The following is a 15,108-nucleotide window of genomic DNA, read 5'->3' as shown; positions in this document are numbered from 1 at the left end:
CCTGTCAGGCTAATGAGTAACAGCAGGTTTTTTTCCTAGAAAATGCATTATTTCCGAAGCATATGTACATCTATAATGCCTGTTATTCTCACTGGTAGAGTTCCTTGCTAGACATAAGACAATTTGCACAGCTTTGAGAGTTAAGATTCATGTACAATTTATTTTATAGTCTGATAAACAGTGCCTTTGTGAAAGCAGTTGCTCTTATATCTCCTAAGTTCAACATTAAGTTTATTTCATAAAGCAGCATGAATAAATCCACAACTCTTAAGGAAATAAATGTGCCCTTCGACTAAACATAGGCTCATTTATCAACTGTGGCTCATGCAAACTTTTGGAGTTTGGAGTTGAAAATATCACCATGTCTCAAACTTGGATACATGAAAATACTGGTCTTCAAGGTGAAGTTAATGGAACACCTGATTCACTTTGTGGGCTTTATCAAAATGCAAATTCCTGGGCTCACTCCAGATCTAGTGAATCAGATGTCAGTGAGTGGGGGCCTAGAATTTGCATTTTGATTAAGCTCCCCAGGTGCTTCATGTGCCTTTAGAAGATAGCAATTTGACACGCTTCTCAGGTTTATTTGCCTTCTAAAACAATATTTTAGCTTAAACCTGTGAAAAACATATGTGATTTTGGATAAAAATATTGAAAAATTATGCTATATATGGTACCTTGGGTATTCAGAGACTGAGAAGTCACATCTATGGAATGTGCACATGCTGGGTGCTTTATACATGTTACTTTATTTAATCCTAGCCACAATCCTATGAGGGTAGATATTATTATATCAGTTTTATAGATGAGAGAACAGGCTCAAAGATGTTAAGCAACTTGACTAGGGTTACACAGGAAATAACTAGAAAGTAAAAAACTAAATTCAGTTACATCAAACTGTAAAGCTTTTTCTGCTCTACCAGGCTGCTGGCGTGGATAGGGTGAAGGGTGGGGCAGAGGAAGCAAATTTTTGTGGTGAATTTATGCTGGGTAGAAGTATTTGCTCTATCAGTTAATAGAACAACCTGGTAAGAAAGAAATTCTTGTATCAACTTCATAGATGGGAGTCAGACAGCTTAGGTAACTTACTGGCAAACACTCATTTATTTAGTTATTGACATATTTATTATTCATTTATTGATATAGTAAATGGCTACAAAGGGTGAAGTCTGAGATTGAACAAAGCGCACCTGGTGTCAGCTCTCATGGAGTTCACAGACTAGTTTAAGAGACAAAGAGATAAATTGATCTACACTATAATTTGTGATAAGTGCTATAAGAGCAAAAATAACAAGAGAAATCTAATTTAGATCTGAGACTCAAAGACAGCCTATGTAGAGAAGTGATATTTGAGCTAAGATGTGAAGTATAAGTAAGATTAGCAAAGTAAAGGGTGGAAATAAAAGCATTCCAGGTGAAGGTACTAACATGTGAAAAGTCTTTGAGGCACAAAAATGCTTGGTACTATTAAGAATTGAAAGAAGACCAATGTGGCCAGCTTAGAAAACAAGTGACGGAGTGATACCACATGATACTGGATTCAGCTGACCAGATTTCTGAGGCCTTTGATGTTAAAATGAAAGACTCTTAGTAATTCTTCTATGTTAAAACAGAGATGAAAGACAAAGACAGAGTCCAATTTGCATTTTAAAAGATCATTGTATAGCTACAGAAGCTTCATTGTGGAGTAGTCCAAATGAGAAAGATGGTTAGAGCTAATTAAAAGTAGCAACAAAAATGTAGAAATGAAGGACAATTTAACAAATAAATTTGGATTCAGAATAGTCTGAGCTTCATATTGGGTGATGCGGAGAGGGGAGGCATCAGGACAAAGCCATAACGAAAATGATTTCAATTTTCTGTCTTTAGCAACTGGGTGAAGAGAGAATAGAGGGTCATATGCTGAGAAAAGGAATGCTATAGAGGAGCAGGTTCAAATTCAGAAGGAAGAACTTGGATGGAAATATATATGTGTGTATGTGTGTGGGCTCTTTGAGCACAAAGATGGTATCCATGGCAATAAAAGTTCTCTCCTAAGGAGAAAGTGTAGAATGAGAAACAATGAAAGCAAGAAATGAGAAAGAAAATGAAACTGAGAACTAGAAGCCAGAGACACAGAAAGAAAATCAGCAGACTGATGGTGTTGTAACTGCCCAACAGGTGCTTTCTGCCCACTGCACAATTAAAGACCATGGCATTACAGTAAAGAAAGACTTAAACTGACTTGAGGCTGGCCACACCATGTGGGAGATGGAGTTAGTACTCAAGTCGATCTTCTCTAAAGCCTATAGGTTAGGGGACTTTCAAAGGCAGTTTAGGGGAAGGGGGGATGGCTAGAAATGGATGCCTGCTGATGATTGGTTGTGGTGGAGATGAAATCATAGGAGGTCAAAGCTGTCCTCTTGAGCTGAGTTGCTTCTGGGGGGGCCATAGGAGTGGAGTTGGTGGGTCCAGGTGGAGCCATGGATTTCAGACATGCAAAAAAACCTGAAAAGTTATCTGAAAAGGCCAATATTAAGTTCTAGAATACTGATTTTATTTGTAGGAATGGCTGGCAATCTTTTATGACTGCACTTTAGCAGAATTCAGATTCCTCTCTTCCCCCTAGCCTGCTGGCCTTTTGTTAGCTTTACAAAGGCAGTTGAGTTTTGGGGAAGGCCTGTAATCATTTTTTTTTCTTGCTCCTTGCTTTTTTTTTTTTTAGTTTTTTATTTTTATTATACTTTAAGTTCTAGGGTACATGTGCACAATGTGCAGGTTTGTTACATATGTATACATGTGCCATGTTGGTGTGCTGCACCCATTAACTCGTCATTTACATTAGGTATATATCCTAATGCTATCCCTCCCCCATCCCCCCACCCCACGACAGGCCCCAGTGTGTGATGTTCCCCTTCCTGTGTCCATGTGTTCTCATTGTTCAATTCCCACCTATGAGTGAGAACATGCGGTGTTTGGTTTTTTGTCCTTGCAATAGTTTGCTGAGAATGATGGTTTCCAGCTTCATCCATGTCCCTACAAAGGACATGAACTCATCATTTTTTATGGCTGCATAGTATTCCATGAATGACTACTGGGTACATAACAAAATGAAGGCAGAAATAAAGATGTTCTTTGAAACCAATGAGAACAAAGACACAACATACCAGAATCTCTGGGAGACATTTAAAGCAGTGTGTAGAGGGAAATTTATAGCACTAAATGCCCACATGAGAAAGCAGGAAATATCTAAAGTTGACACCCTAACATCACAATTAAAAGAACTACAGAAGCCAGAGCAAACACATTCAAAAGCTAGCAGAAGGCAAGAAATAACTAAGATTAGAGTAGAACTGAAGGAGATAGAGACATAAAAAACACTTCAAAAAATCAATAAATCCAGGATCTGGTTTTTTTGAAAAGATCAATAAAATTGATAGACCACTAGCAAGACTAATAAAGAAGAAAAGAGAGAAGAATCAAATAGATGCAATAAAAAATGATAAAGGGGATATCACCACTGATCCCACAGAAATACCAACTACCATCAGAGAATACTATAAACACCTCTAGGCAAATAAACTAGAAAATCTAGAAGAAATGGATACATTCTTGGACACATACACCCTCCCAAGACTAAACCAGGAAGAAGTTGCATCCCTGAATAGACCAATAACAGGCTCTGAAATTGAGGCAATAATTAATAGCTTACCAACCGAAAAAAGTCCAGGACCAGACGGATTCACAGCTGAATTCTACCAGAGGTACAAGGAGGAGCTGGTACCATTCCTTCTGAAATTATTCCAGTCAATAGAAAAAGAGGGAATCCTCCCTAACTCATTTTATGAGGCCAGCATCATCCTGATACAACAGCCTGGCAGAGACACAAAAAAAGAGAATTTTAGACCAATATCCCTGATGAACATTGCATCACTGGCCATTAGAGAAATGCAAATCAAAACCACAATGAGATGCCATCTCACACCAGTTAGAATGGTGATCATTAAAAAGTCAGGAAACAACAGGTGCTGGAGAGGATGTGGAGAAATAGGAACACTTTTACACTGTTGGTGGTACTGTAAAGTAGTTCAACCTTTGTGGAAGACAGTGTGGCGATTCCTCAAGGATCTAGAACTAGAAATGCCATTTGACCCAGCCATCCCATTACTGGGTATATACCCAAAGGATTATAAATCATGCTGCTATAAAGACACATGCACCCGTATGTTTATTGCGGCATTATTCACAATAGCAAAGACTTGAAACGAACCCAAATGCCCATCAATGATAGACTGGATTAAGAAAATGTGGGCTGTAATCATTTAAACTGTAAACTAAATGCTTTCCAAAGTTAGCCTAAGCCCGAGAACGATTAAGGGAAGAGAAGATGCCAGGGGCGGGAGGGTTAGATTAGATGTCATTTACTGCCATAATTTTCTCACCGTTATAATTTTTGCAAAGGTGGTTTTAGTGTTATGGATGCCAAGAAAAGAGAAGGTTTCAAGAATGGGATGGTCGGCTGTCTTGACTGCTTCAGAAAGGGCTGTGAGTGTTCTCCACGTGGTCAAACCCAAGGAACAATTTTCAGGCCTTTTCTACTGTTCAAAATCTTGTCAGAAAAAGTTTGTTGAGAATGAGGGTAAAAATTGAAGACTTGGAATTGAGGGAAACTACTTTTTAGAGAAAGAATATAGAAGAGCCTGTTCATATAATAATGGGAAAGGTACGTGAAGTGGGGAAGGTTGATGATCTGGAAAAATAAATAAAGGAAGCATAAACTTTTGGAAAAGATGGGGACAGGTGGAGAATTTCTGACAAAAGATCACTTTTTCTGTTCTAATGGAAAAGAATAATAAATGATGATGATAACTTACACATTGTTTTTGTTATGTGCTGATCCCTTTTCTGTTATATGTTTTTGTGTATATTAATTTTATTTTAATAATATTTTAATGTAATTTATTAATCTTTCTAATAACTTTTAAGGCTGGTATTGTTATCAGCATTTTATAGAGGGACACAAAAATATAAGCAACTTGCACAGGTCCCATATCTAGTAAGTGATGAATTGGGATTTGACCAAGAGCCTCAGTACAGAGCAAGGGAAAGTGAGCCCCTTTCTGTCTGATTTCTTCTTTTGACAGGATGCATAAGGTAAGGCATCACCTGAAAGGTGCAGCGATGGTGGTGGGTAAGGAGATGAGAGGAGAGTTAAGAATAAGTAAAATAGTGGCCAGGGATAATGAGAGAGTAAAATACAGAAACACAGTGGAATTTTCACGTGGTGGTAAGTACTCATTTGACTTTTGCGAGACAATGTTTATAGTGATACTAGTTAACCTGGTTTTGTGATTGGATCCCTTTCATAATATTCCATATGAATCCAAAAGATAAAAAAAAGTAGATGGTTAGGTTCATTCAGGGCTAGAGTCTTTCTGGCATTATTTTGTTTTGGTAAGAAAGTGGAGGATATCTGCAAACAATAGCAAATCCAGGGTATAAATTTAAATGTATACATTTTATCTACCCCTGTAGCATTGTTCACTAGGAATTTCTGGATTACACGGGTAAGCAAAAAATTAATAGTTCATCAAATTGTGATTCTGTAAGATTAAAATTGGAAGAAAGAAAGTATTTAAAGGGAGGGAACTAAAAAATATGCATCATGGCTAATTACCTGTGCTATAATACTATGTCTTCATTGGAGACTTACTAGAGTTTCTTCTAATTTACAACCATTTGTTCTAAATGTGCTTACATTGGGAGAATCTGCTAGAGATTGCTAGTATTACTATGCCCCAGGCACATTGCTGAGATTTTCTGTATTTTTTCCAAAACATTTAACTTTGAAGCAAAGTGCATTTTTTATTATATCTTTCCTGCATTTTTCCCTAATCTTTGTTTTCTTAAAACTATTTCCCACATATAGTTGATTCTTGTTAATGGACACTAGCAAAGTTACAATTTCATGGAAATTAATGTTGATTAAAATAGATTTTCTATCATTTATATAGGAAAGACCTGATACATAACTGCTCATAAAATTTAAGTAGCAATGGTGTGTAAATTGATTCCTTTAAGAGAAATGTGCTGTTTTAAGGTCACTATTTTATACATGCATCATTCATTACCCATGGTGACACCATATTGCCTATTCAAAGTTATCTCAAAGCCAGAAACAAATAAAGAGCTAGGCCTAAGCTGGGAGAAATGTGGTTTATTAGCATTTTTACAGATTCTTGCAAGTAAAGTTTCACTAAATGGATACACATGGGAACGGACTTGAATAGATAATTTTCTCTACAAATCTTTCATTGTAGGATCACGGATTATGAATTTCACATCCATAGACAGTGTTAAATTTATTTTTATTTCAATCTCAGACACACATTTATTTCTGAGTTTTATGCAAAATCAGCTACCATATATTACATGCAAACATTAGTTTATGCCTATATTATAAAGTGAAATCAAATATCAATATGTAGAATTTGGAAAACAGCTTACCTAATAAATACTAGAATTTACTCACATATCAAAATTCATTGTGGTAAAACAGTATTTTTTCATTGAATTTTATATGTCTTATCAAAAGCAGTGGCCATAATTAATAAATCCCTAAAGTTTGTTGACAATAGAAGTGGTATAAAAAATTAAGATTTTTTTTGTCACTTGACTTTGACAAACATTATTACAATGAGGGCTGGAGCTCAGTCAGTGCTGGGGTGGGCAAACTCAAGGACTCTGCAGCTGAAACCCAGAACTGTATGATGGGATAAAACTTAAGAATGCCCCCTTCCAAGATGATTAGTGGAAGACCAGCAAGCAATGCAAAAAGCAAGATGCCAGGAAGTCAAAGTAGTATGTGATAGCTATGGTAGGGAGTAAAAATCAGTATTCAGTCATTCATTTGTTTAATAAATCTGTGGCACGTACCTACCATGTGCTAGGCACTCTTTTAGATGCTTGAGGTAAAACAATGACAGATCCACAGTCCGAAAGATCTTATATTCATGTGATAGGAAGAAACAGGAAGTAAAAAAAACGTAAAGAATAAGTAAGTGTGGGAAGGTGATCAGTGTTATGGGAAAAATAAAACAAAAAAATTGGGCAAAGCAAGAGGGATCAGAGTAACTGAGTGTGGAGCAAGTTATAATTTTAAGTAGGATGATCAGTAAAGGGCTAAAAGAGCAGTTGGTATGAGGATGATAGCACCTCCCTCAAGGCAAGAGATGAGAGAATTAGCTATGCAGATCATTTGGGGAAAGAGAAGGCTTTCAGTGCAAAGACTCTGCAGTGGAACCATGCTTGACTGGCTCACAAGTAAGGGTCAGTGTGTCTGGAGTAGAGTGAATCAAGGAGAAGATACCTGAATAAAAAGTCAAAGAGATACTGGGAGGGCTAACTTTCCATGGCATTCTTTTTTCCTACACTGTGTTCATGTCCTTTTCTGCATTGCTTTGTTTTCTTTTGTTCTAAAAGGAAAAAGCCAGGATGATAGACTACATTCTCCAAATACATCTAAAAATAGGGAAAAGTAGAAGTCTGATTCTATAGAATGGGTAGATAGCAGGAGGGTCTTGGGTGAAGATGTAGAAAATAAAAAAGGTCGTCAAGACTTGCTAAGTAAGTGGCCTCAGGTCCTCTATGGGGTGCAAAGAAAAAGTGTTGGAGAGATTTGGATTCAATCCTGTCTCTATCACTAGATGTTTGACCTCAGAAGTGGAACTTAACCTCTCTGAGGCCTGATGTTATCAATAATAAAGTGGGTACTATAACATCCTTTTCCTACAATTACCATAAAGATCAGATAATGTATATAAACTGGCACAAAGTAGGCATTTTTGACAAGTTGTCTTCTTCCATTTCTATTTTGCTACCTACCACTAATGTCCAGATTTCAGCTTTGAGGCTTTTATCTTCTCCTGGAAATAACTTTTACATTTGATCACTCATGCTTTGATTTCTGGCCACTTTTTGCACATAGCTATATCAGGGGTACTAACTGCAATGGAAAAGAAAGGCCTAGTAGCCTTTATCATTATTTTCCTGCCTATGGTGTATTTTGCCCCCATTTCGCCCCTCAAATTCCTCTGAGACACAGGAGAGGTGAGTGGCAGGTATATTCCTATTTGACCAAGATTGTTGTGAGCTGTTAGTGCTCTTAGTCTGGCAGAGGTTTAAAACGAACACCTTTTCTTGATTTTGGATTGGATTCGGGAGTTTTCTAGAGACTGTGGAATTCTGGAAATCTGTCTTTTGCAGATCTTGGAAATGCATCGCATTGTCTGTTCTCATTGGTCATGTATATATCTGCTCACCCCCGAGGCACCCAGCAGCTTGCTCCCCTCTGCCTTCTGCCAGGGTCTCCTCAGACCTCTCATGGACATGACCCAAGGTAGCCCGAGATTGCAGTGCTTGCTCAAGTGACCCACTTTTATTCTATGGGAGGTAGTCATGTATCCTTTACTCCAACAAACTCTGAAAATGCGGGCCATCACCAACATGTTGCTCAGTAGCTCGAACTTTCCATTTTTAGATTTCTTAGATTTGAGTCCAACACCAATGAATACATCACTCAATAGCCAGGAAATACTTGTTTTCTTGGGGCAAAGATAAAACAAAGATAGTTGAATGTTACTGGCATTGAAGACTGTATCTTACGGAATTCTCATCTTGGTTTTCAATTTGTCCACTGATTTTAAAAAGAAATACATAGTTCATGTAATCCTTTAGAACTCAAATGCTGTCTATTTCTATCCCTCACTCATAGCATTTGAAAGGCATATAATTAGTAAGTGAAACAGAAATAGACTGCAACCTTACTTCTTTTCTCAAATCTTAAATGTGTATGTTACTTAGAGCTCAGCCTACCAGCATATTTTATGAACTTAAAATCCAGAACTAAAAATGCGACATCCCAGCAATGTTAAATATCTATGCTAGATACCCACTTTTAAAGAGTGAGAATTTAATTACTTTGTTTTTAGACAACACTACTAACATTTTCTTTGATTCTCTTCCAAATCAACAGCAGTGTAGCATTACTTAGAAGCAATCAATGTAGTATTACCTAAAAATATTCACTATTTTTAGTAATGAATATATTTGATGGAAACTAACTCTAATATTTATGAAGAGTGGACTTAAGGAAAATAAGTGAAGTTTCAACTATTTCAATTGGTATGAACTCTAATAAACAACTATAAAAAATGATATACTCTCAGCAAGAAATACAGAAAACTTACTCATTTATACTACAAAACAGCTATATTTCAGGTTTATCAGACTGAATCTAATTAGTTTGCCTTTTGGTCTACACATTAGAAATTAAATGACTTCCCTTACATGAATGTATTTTTCACATAATTCTAATATTTGAAATATATGATATAATTAGTTGAATCTATGACTTCTGCTCACAATAAATTTATGCCTAGATTGCTTCAAATTAATTGGAATTGGAAGACAAAATTTTCCAGGAAGGCTGTAATAAAATAAGACACAAATAAGCTTCTCAAAGAGAACTATTTAATTTTTGCCTATCATGAATAAAAGAGTAATGAAACCCTCTGAACCCTTTTTGTTTCTTCTCTAGGGACTTTGAAAATACAGAAAATATTTTTAATAAGCCATTTAATTAAAACAAACTTTATATTTAAAATGTTTACTATTCACGTTACTGTCAAGCCATTGTAGTGAACTCAGACATATATTCCATCCCAAATTATTTTCCTGAGCTAATCATGACAATTTCTTCTTTTTCCTCACCAATAATTAGTTTAGAATGGAAGTGTGACTAAGTCTTGTAGATCTCTCAAGTAATGAAAAGTCAACTGAGGGATCTGAAAAAAGTTTTCTCTCAAATGACAACAACAAAGAGAAATATTTTGTCTTTTTCCTCTGGAAGAATAGGCACCAGAAACTTCCGTATCCATCTTTCTATTGCCTGAATTCAAAGCCAGCACAAAGGATCACAGAGCAGATTAAGGGAAGTGAAGACATTGCTGACAGCTCAATTAACCAACTCAAGCAATTACTCTACAGTGGATTTCCTGTTACATAATATAGTATTACACTCATTTATCTCATTTATACATTGACTCCCTCCCCACTAGGATGTAAACTCTATGAAGCAAAGACATTGTGTTGTTCACAGCTGTATCTACAAAGCCTGGATTAGTGGTTGGGTGCACGGTAGGTACTCAATTAATATTTGTCATATTAATATGTAAGTAATAAATTTTGTTACTTAAAGACAGCTTGAAGCAGGATTTTCTCTTACTTGTACCTGAAAGCATACTGATTGGTAAAGCCATTTTTTATTGTCTTGAAAAAAGTAACTTAGCTTTGAAGATTGACTTATAGCATGGCAATGGAGAATGTTTCTTTGCCTTTTCAGGGCCATTGGATCCTAAGAAGGACCAATATGGAAGTGTCAAGCGATAGGTTACAGAAGGTGCTGTATTAGTTTTCTATTGCTACCATAACATTATCGCAAATTCTATAGTTCACATGGGTCTAACTGACTAAAATTGAGGTGTTAGTAGGACTGCATTTCTTTCTGAACTCTGTGGGGAGAACCCATTTCCTGGTCTTTTCCACCTTATCTGCATTCATTGGCTCGTGGCCCCCTTCCTCCATCTTCAAAGCCAGTTATTGCAGGTTCTGTCCTTTTCACATTTTCGTCCCTCTGGTTCTCTACTGTAGTCACATCTCCTGATGACTTAAAGTAAGAACGGTCTTCCATTTCTAAGGACTCATGATTAGATTGGTTCCACCTGGATAGTCCAGGCTACTCTCACCATCACAAAGTCTCTTTTGCCATGTAAGGTAACACATTTTGGGGTTCCAAGAATTAGAATAAGAACATGGTTGAAGGGACATTATTCAGTCTACCACAGTAATAAAGCATGTATTTTTCATTTGCAATGATATTGCTGACAATACCCAAGATAAAAATAAAGTGGCCATATATCAACGTATCTCAAACTAAAAATCTTGATATGTGCTTTGCATGTGAAACTTTGTTGGGGGAAAAATAAATCATTGCACATGCTTATTTTGCTCCTCAAAATTTCAGACATCACAATTTTATTATGTATGCATCATTTGTATTAGTGTTTTCTTTTAAATTAGGATTCTAGCTCATGAAACACAGCTATTATTTTGAGCATAGCAAAGCAAGAAAGTTAAGTGCACTCTTAAAAAGCATCATGCATACCTGACAGTTATCTTTCAGGGGTCACACTCAAAATGTGTCCGGTAAGATTCTTCACATCCCAGTATAGAAAAGGAGTAATACAATTCTCTTTAACTCGAATAATTTTCTTCTGTCTATTATAACTCTGCTCATTTCCCCCAATCCTGGTCAAATATTCTCTCCTCCATAAAGGCTCTGTAATCAGTCCAGCTGGTCAAAATATCAACTCTTCCCACTTATCTGGTAATCGTGATCTGTACCATTCTTTTTTTTTTTTTTTTAACGGAGTTTTGCTCTTGTTGCCCAGGCTGAAGTGCAATGGCACAATCTCGGCTCATGGCAATCTCCAACACCCGGGTTCAAGCGATTCTCCTGCCTCAGCCTTCCAAATAGCTGGGATTACAGGCATGTGCCCCCACGTCTGGCTAATTTTGTAGTTTTTAGTAGAGACAGGGTTTCTCCATGTTGGTCAGGCTGGTCTTCAACTCCCGACCTCAGGTGATCAGTCCGCCTTGGCCTCCCAAAGTGCTGGGATTATAGGCATCAGCCACTGTGCCCAGCTGTGATCTGTTCCATTCTTAAGGAACCCATTTTATATGAACTTATAATGCTGTTATTTCTACTTGCAAACATGTCATCTCCAATACTAGAATTTAAGCACTTGGAGAACCATTCTTTTTGAACGTCTTTGAGTAGTAACTATACCCAAAATATGTATTAATCAAATTTGTTTTAAAATATTACCTCCTGTGATAAAGGAAGAAAGGACTATAGGAAATTATCTTTACATTTTTCCAGAACAGAACTGAAATCCACAGAAAGTTAGTATAAAGAAAGAGATTTCATTATTATGATTAAACCTTACTTCAGTCAGAACCCTATATCCCAAGCTCATAGACTAGCTGAAAAAGAAAAAGTAGAAAATGTATCAAATTGGGAGGTAAAAATAGGGAAAAGCAAAACATTTTACAGATTTAATTAATGCAGGGTTCAAAGTACTCTCAAAATAGTTGTAAGGCTAGGAAGAGCCTAACCAATAATGCCTTTCTTAGAAAAGTAAGATCTAGGGTATGCCTGAGCAACAAGAACATCTCTACACCTGATTTCATACCACAGCACATCAGAGTAACTGGGCTGAAGGAGAAGGCATATGAACTTACCCCCTTTTCAATAAAAAGACAAAAAGAGTAGAATGTTAGAGGTGAAAATTTCCTGACGGTTAATATGGTGGCTGCTAAGCAAGTCATTTATAGGAAGATAAAATTTAAATTTCCATATAGAAAATAACATTTTCTATATTTCTATTCCTCAACATAACTTAGATGAGAAATATACCAAATTTCATAAGAAAGTACATATATAATTCTATAACCATATAGCTGCCTTCAAGCACCCCATAACCAAATTCATTGTCTTGGCCCTTGCCATTCCACCATTTTTTTTTTTTTTTTTTGAGACTAAGTCTTGCTCTGTCTTCAGGCTGGAGTGCAGTGGTGCCATCCCAGCTCACTGCAACCTCCACCTCCCAGATTCAAGCTATTCCCCTGCCTCAGCCTCCCAAGTAGCTGGGATTACAGGCATGCACCACCATGCCCGGCTAATTTTTGTATTTTAGTAGAGATGGGTTTTCACCATGTTGGCCAAGATGGTCTCGATCTCCTAACCTCGTGATCCATCCACCTCGACCTCCCAAAGTGCTGGGATTACAGGCATGAGCCACCGTCCCCAGCCTCCACCATACATTTTTTAAAACAATTATTTGGACTAGATAGAACTTCTTCATTAGCAAAAGTAAAAATAGTCAGGAAGCAATGATCATAGATAGCGGAATTGAAAAACAAAAAGAGGGAATATCCAAAAGACCCAGAGAAACAATTATACAGAAAAGCAACAGAAACATTGAGCCAATCATTTGTTTTAAAGCTCTCAGGAATTGAAGATCATAGTGCCGTTGATCAGCCTCATTGAAAAGATACATGAGATTGAATAAAAAACAATAATATTAACTGAATGATGTGATAAAGAAGTTGGTAAATCTCAGAAAAAAAGGAAAAGAAAAGAAAACAAAGTTAAAAATTTTCACATTATCATTATAAATTAAAATAAATCCTTAAGAAACATAGACATAAATGTGAAGACCGGGCTTGAAAAAAATCAAGAAAAGTAAAATAGAAATGGAACTTAGATATAAACACAATTGGCAAGAAATTATAGGTCTAGACTAAAAAACAAATTAAAAATGCATCTAATTATGGTTTCTGAATAAGAAAACTAAACAGTAGAGAAAATACAAACATATATAATAGAAGTAAACTTTAAAACAACTGGTTCTTTGGTTTGCAAAGAAAAGATGACTGTTGTGTATTGACTGAAAATACCAACTAGTTATCTCAATCAACTAGATGGCAATTTCTATTAGAGATATTGCCCTTATATATTTTAAGTGCCTAGAACAATGACTGATAAAAAGAAATCACCTGGAAGAGATTTGTTAAATACATTAACAATAAATTGAATATAAACTTGAATAAATAAGTATCTACTTGGAAAAAATCAACACTGAACTGAGGTCTAATAAAGCTGTTTTAACTTAAGGAAATTTACCAAGAAGTCCATGAAAAGTTAGGATAAACTTGGACATCTTCACAACAGCATTTATCCTAACAAGAACAACAAAATAATACCTAAACAAAGAGTTTCAACTTAGCCACATTGCAATTAAAAGGTAAAAGCAATAGAAAAACTACCCAGCCATATAAGAATATGAGGATTACAATTTATGGCATTTCTTAAAAAAACGTGTTAAATAAATCTATCCAAAGTAGAGATAAAGCAATAATAAGTTCAGAATTTAGGTACTGCTATTAGTATCAAAGGTTTGAAAGTGAACACCAAATTACAAGCATATAAAATTTAGCCAGGTGCGGTGGCTCATGCGTGTAATCCCAGCACTTTGGGAGGCTGAGACACACGGATCACTTGAGGCCAGGAGTTCAAGACCAGCCTGCCAACATGGTGAACCCTCATCTCTACTAAAAATACAAACAATTATTCATGTGTGGTGGTGCATGCCTGTAATCTCAGCTGCTTGGGAGGCTGAGGCATGAGAATTGCTTGAATCTGGGAGGCAGAGGTTGCAGTGAGCAGTGATCATGCCACTGCACTCCAGCCTGGGTGACAGAATGAGATTCTGTCTCAATAATAATAATAATAATAATAAAATTTAGGACTTCTAGTAGCAGTAGACCTCACATTGAGAACTACAACAGAATCTCAACAAAGTATAAAAAGTATAAAAAATCATGAGCATTAAAAAGGTAAGGAGGAATTAAGAGGCAAGGTTTAGCCACTTTTTAACGCCAAGGTAGTAGTCCATGAGTGGCATTATAGTCACAACATAGATTGTGAATACTATAAATTCAATAAGAAAAATTGGGAAAGAACACGAATAAACAATTTATTGAAAGATGGTTGGATAGAATTTTAAACATCTTACTCATAATTGAAACTGAAATTACATTTTCAACACATCAGAGTCACAAAGATTAAAACACTCTAAACTTCATTTTGGCACAAACGTGGGAAAAACAGCCACTCTCATACGCTGTTGATGGAGGCAGAAATTAGGAAAAATACTTTTATAAGGAGAAATATTTGGAGTTGTCAAATATTTAAAAGGTCATATCATTGACTCAGAATTACATTTCTATGTCTGTAGACAGATAGCAAGCATGCAGCTATGTATTAGAATGTTAGATAACATTAAGCCCTCAAGGGTAAAAGCAAGGTTTGGGGTAGAAAATGACTAACTGCTATTTTTTTATTAGATGATTAGGAACATCCTGTCTGATGCACTGACATTTGGGCAGTAAGCCAAATAATGAGGAGAAGTGAGCCATGCTAATACCTAGAAGGACGGCTTTCCA

At 36.3% G+C, this 15,108-nt stretch overlaps 3 annotated features.

The window, feature by feature from the left end:
• Positions 222 to 391: an enhancer, noted in NCBI's record as "experimental_30646 CRE fragment used in MPRA reporter constructs". NCBI's record gives its function as "activates a minimal promoter by MPRAs in K562 erythroleukemia cells, with activity observed for the introgressed 12:59895546 variant allele {active_cell/tissue: K562}" and the evidence as "EXISTENCE:reporter gene assay evidence [ECO:0000049][PMID:34662402]".
• Positions 2,002 to 2,051: an enhancer, noted in NCBI's record as "active region_6573". NCBI's record gives its function as "activates an Ori minimal core promoter by ATAC-STARR-seq in GM12878 lymphoblastoid cells {active_cell/tissue: GM12878}" and the evidence as "EXISTENCE:reporter gene assay evidence [ECO:0000049][PMID:35858748]".
• Positions 2,062 to 2,171: an enhancer, noted in NCBI's record as "active region_6572". NCBI's record gives its function as "activates an Ori minimal core promoter by ATAC-STARR-seq in GM12878 lymphoblastoid cells {active_cell/tissue: GM12878}" and the evidence as "EXISTENCE:reporter gene assay evidence [ECO:0000049][PMID:35858748]".

The sequence above is a fragment of the Homo sapiens genome, chromosome 12 (assembly GCF_000001405.40).
Source record: "Homo sapiens chromosome 12, GRCh38.p14 Primary Assembly".
In the NCBI taxonomy this organism is placed as follows: domain Eukaryota; kingdom Metazoa; phylum Chordata; class Mammalia; order Primates; family Hominidae; genus Homo; species Homo sapiens.
Note: the sequence above shows the minus strand (reverse complement) of the source record. Positions and strands in the feature narration are given on the sequence as shown.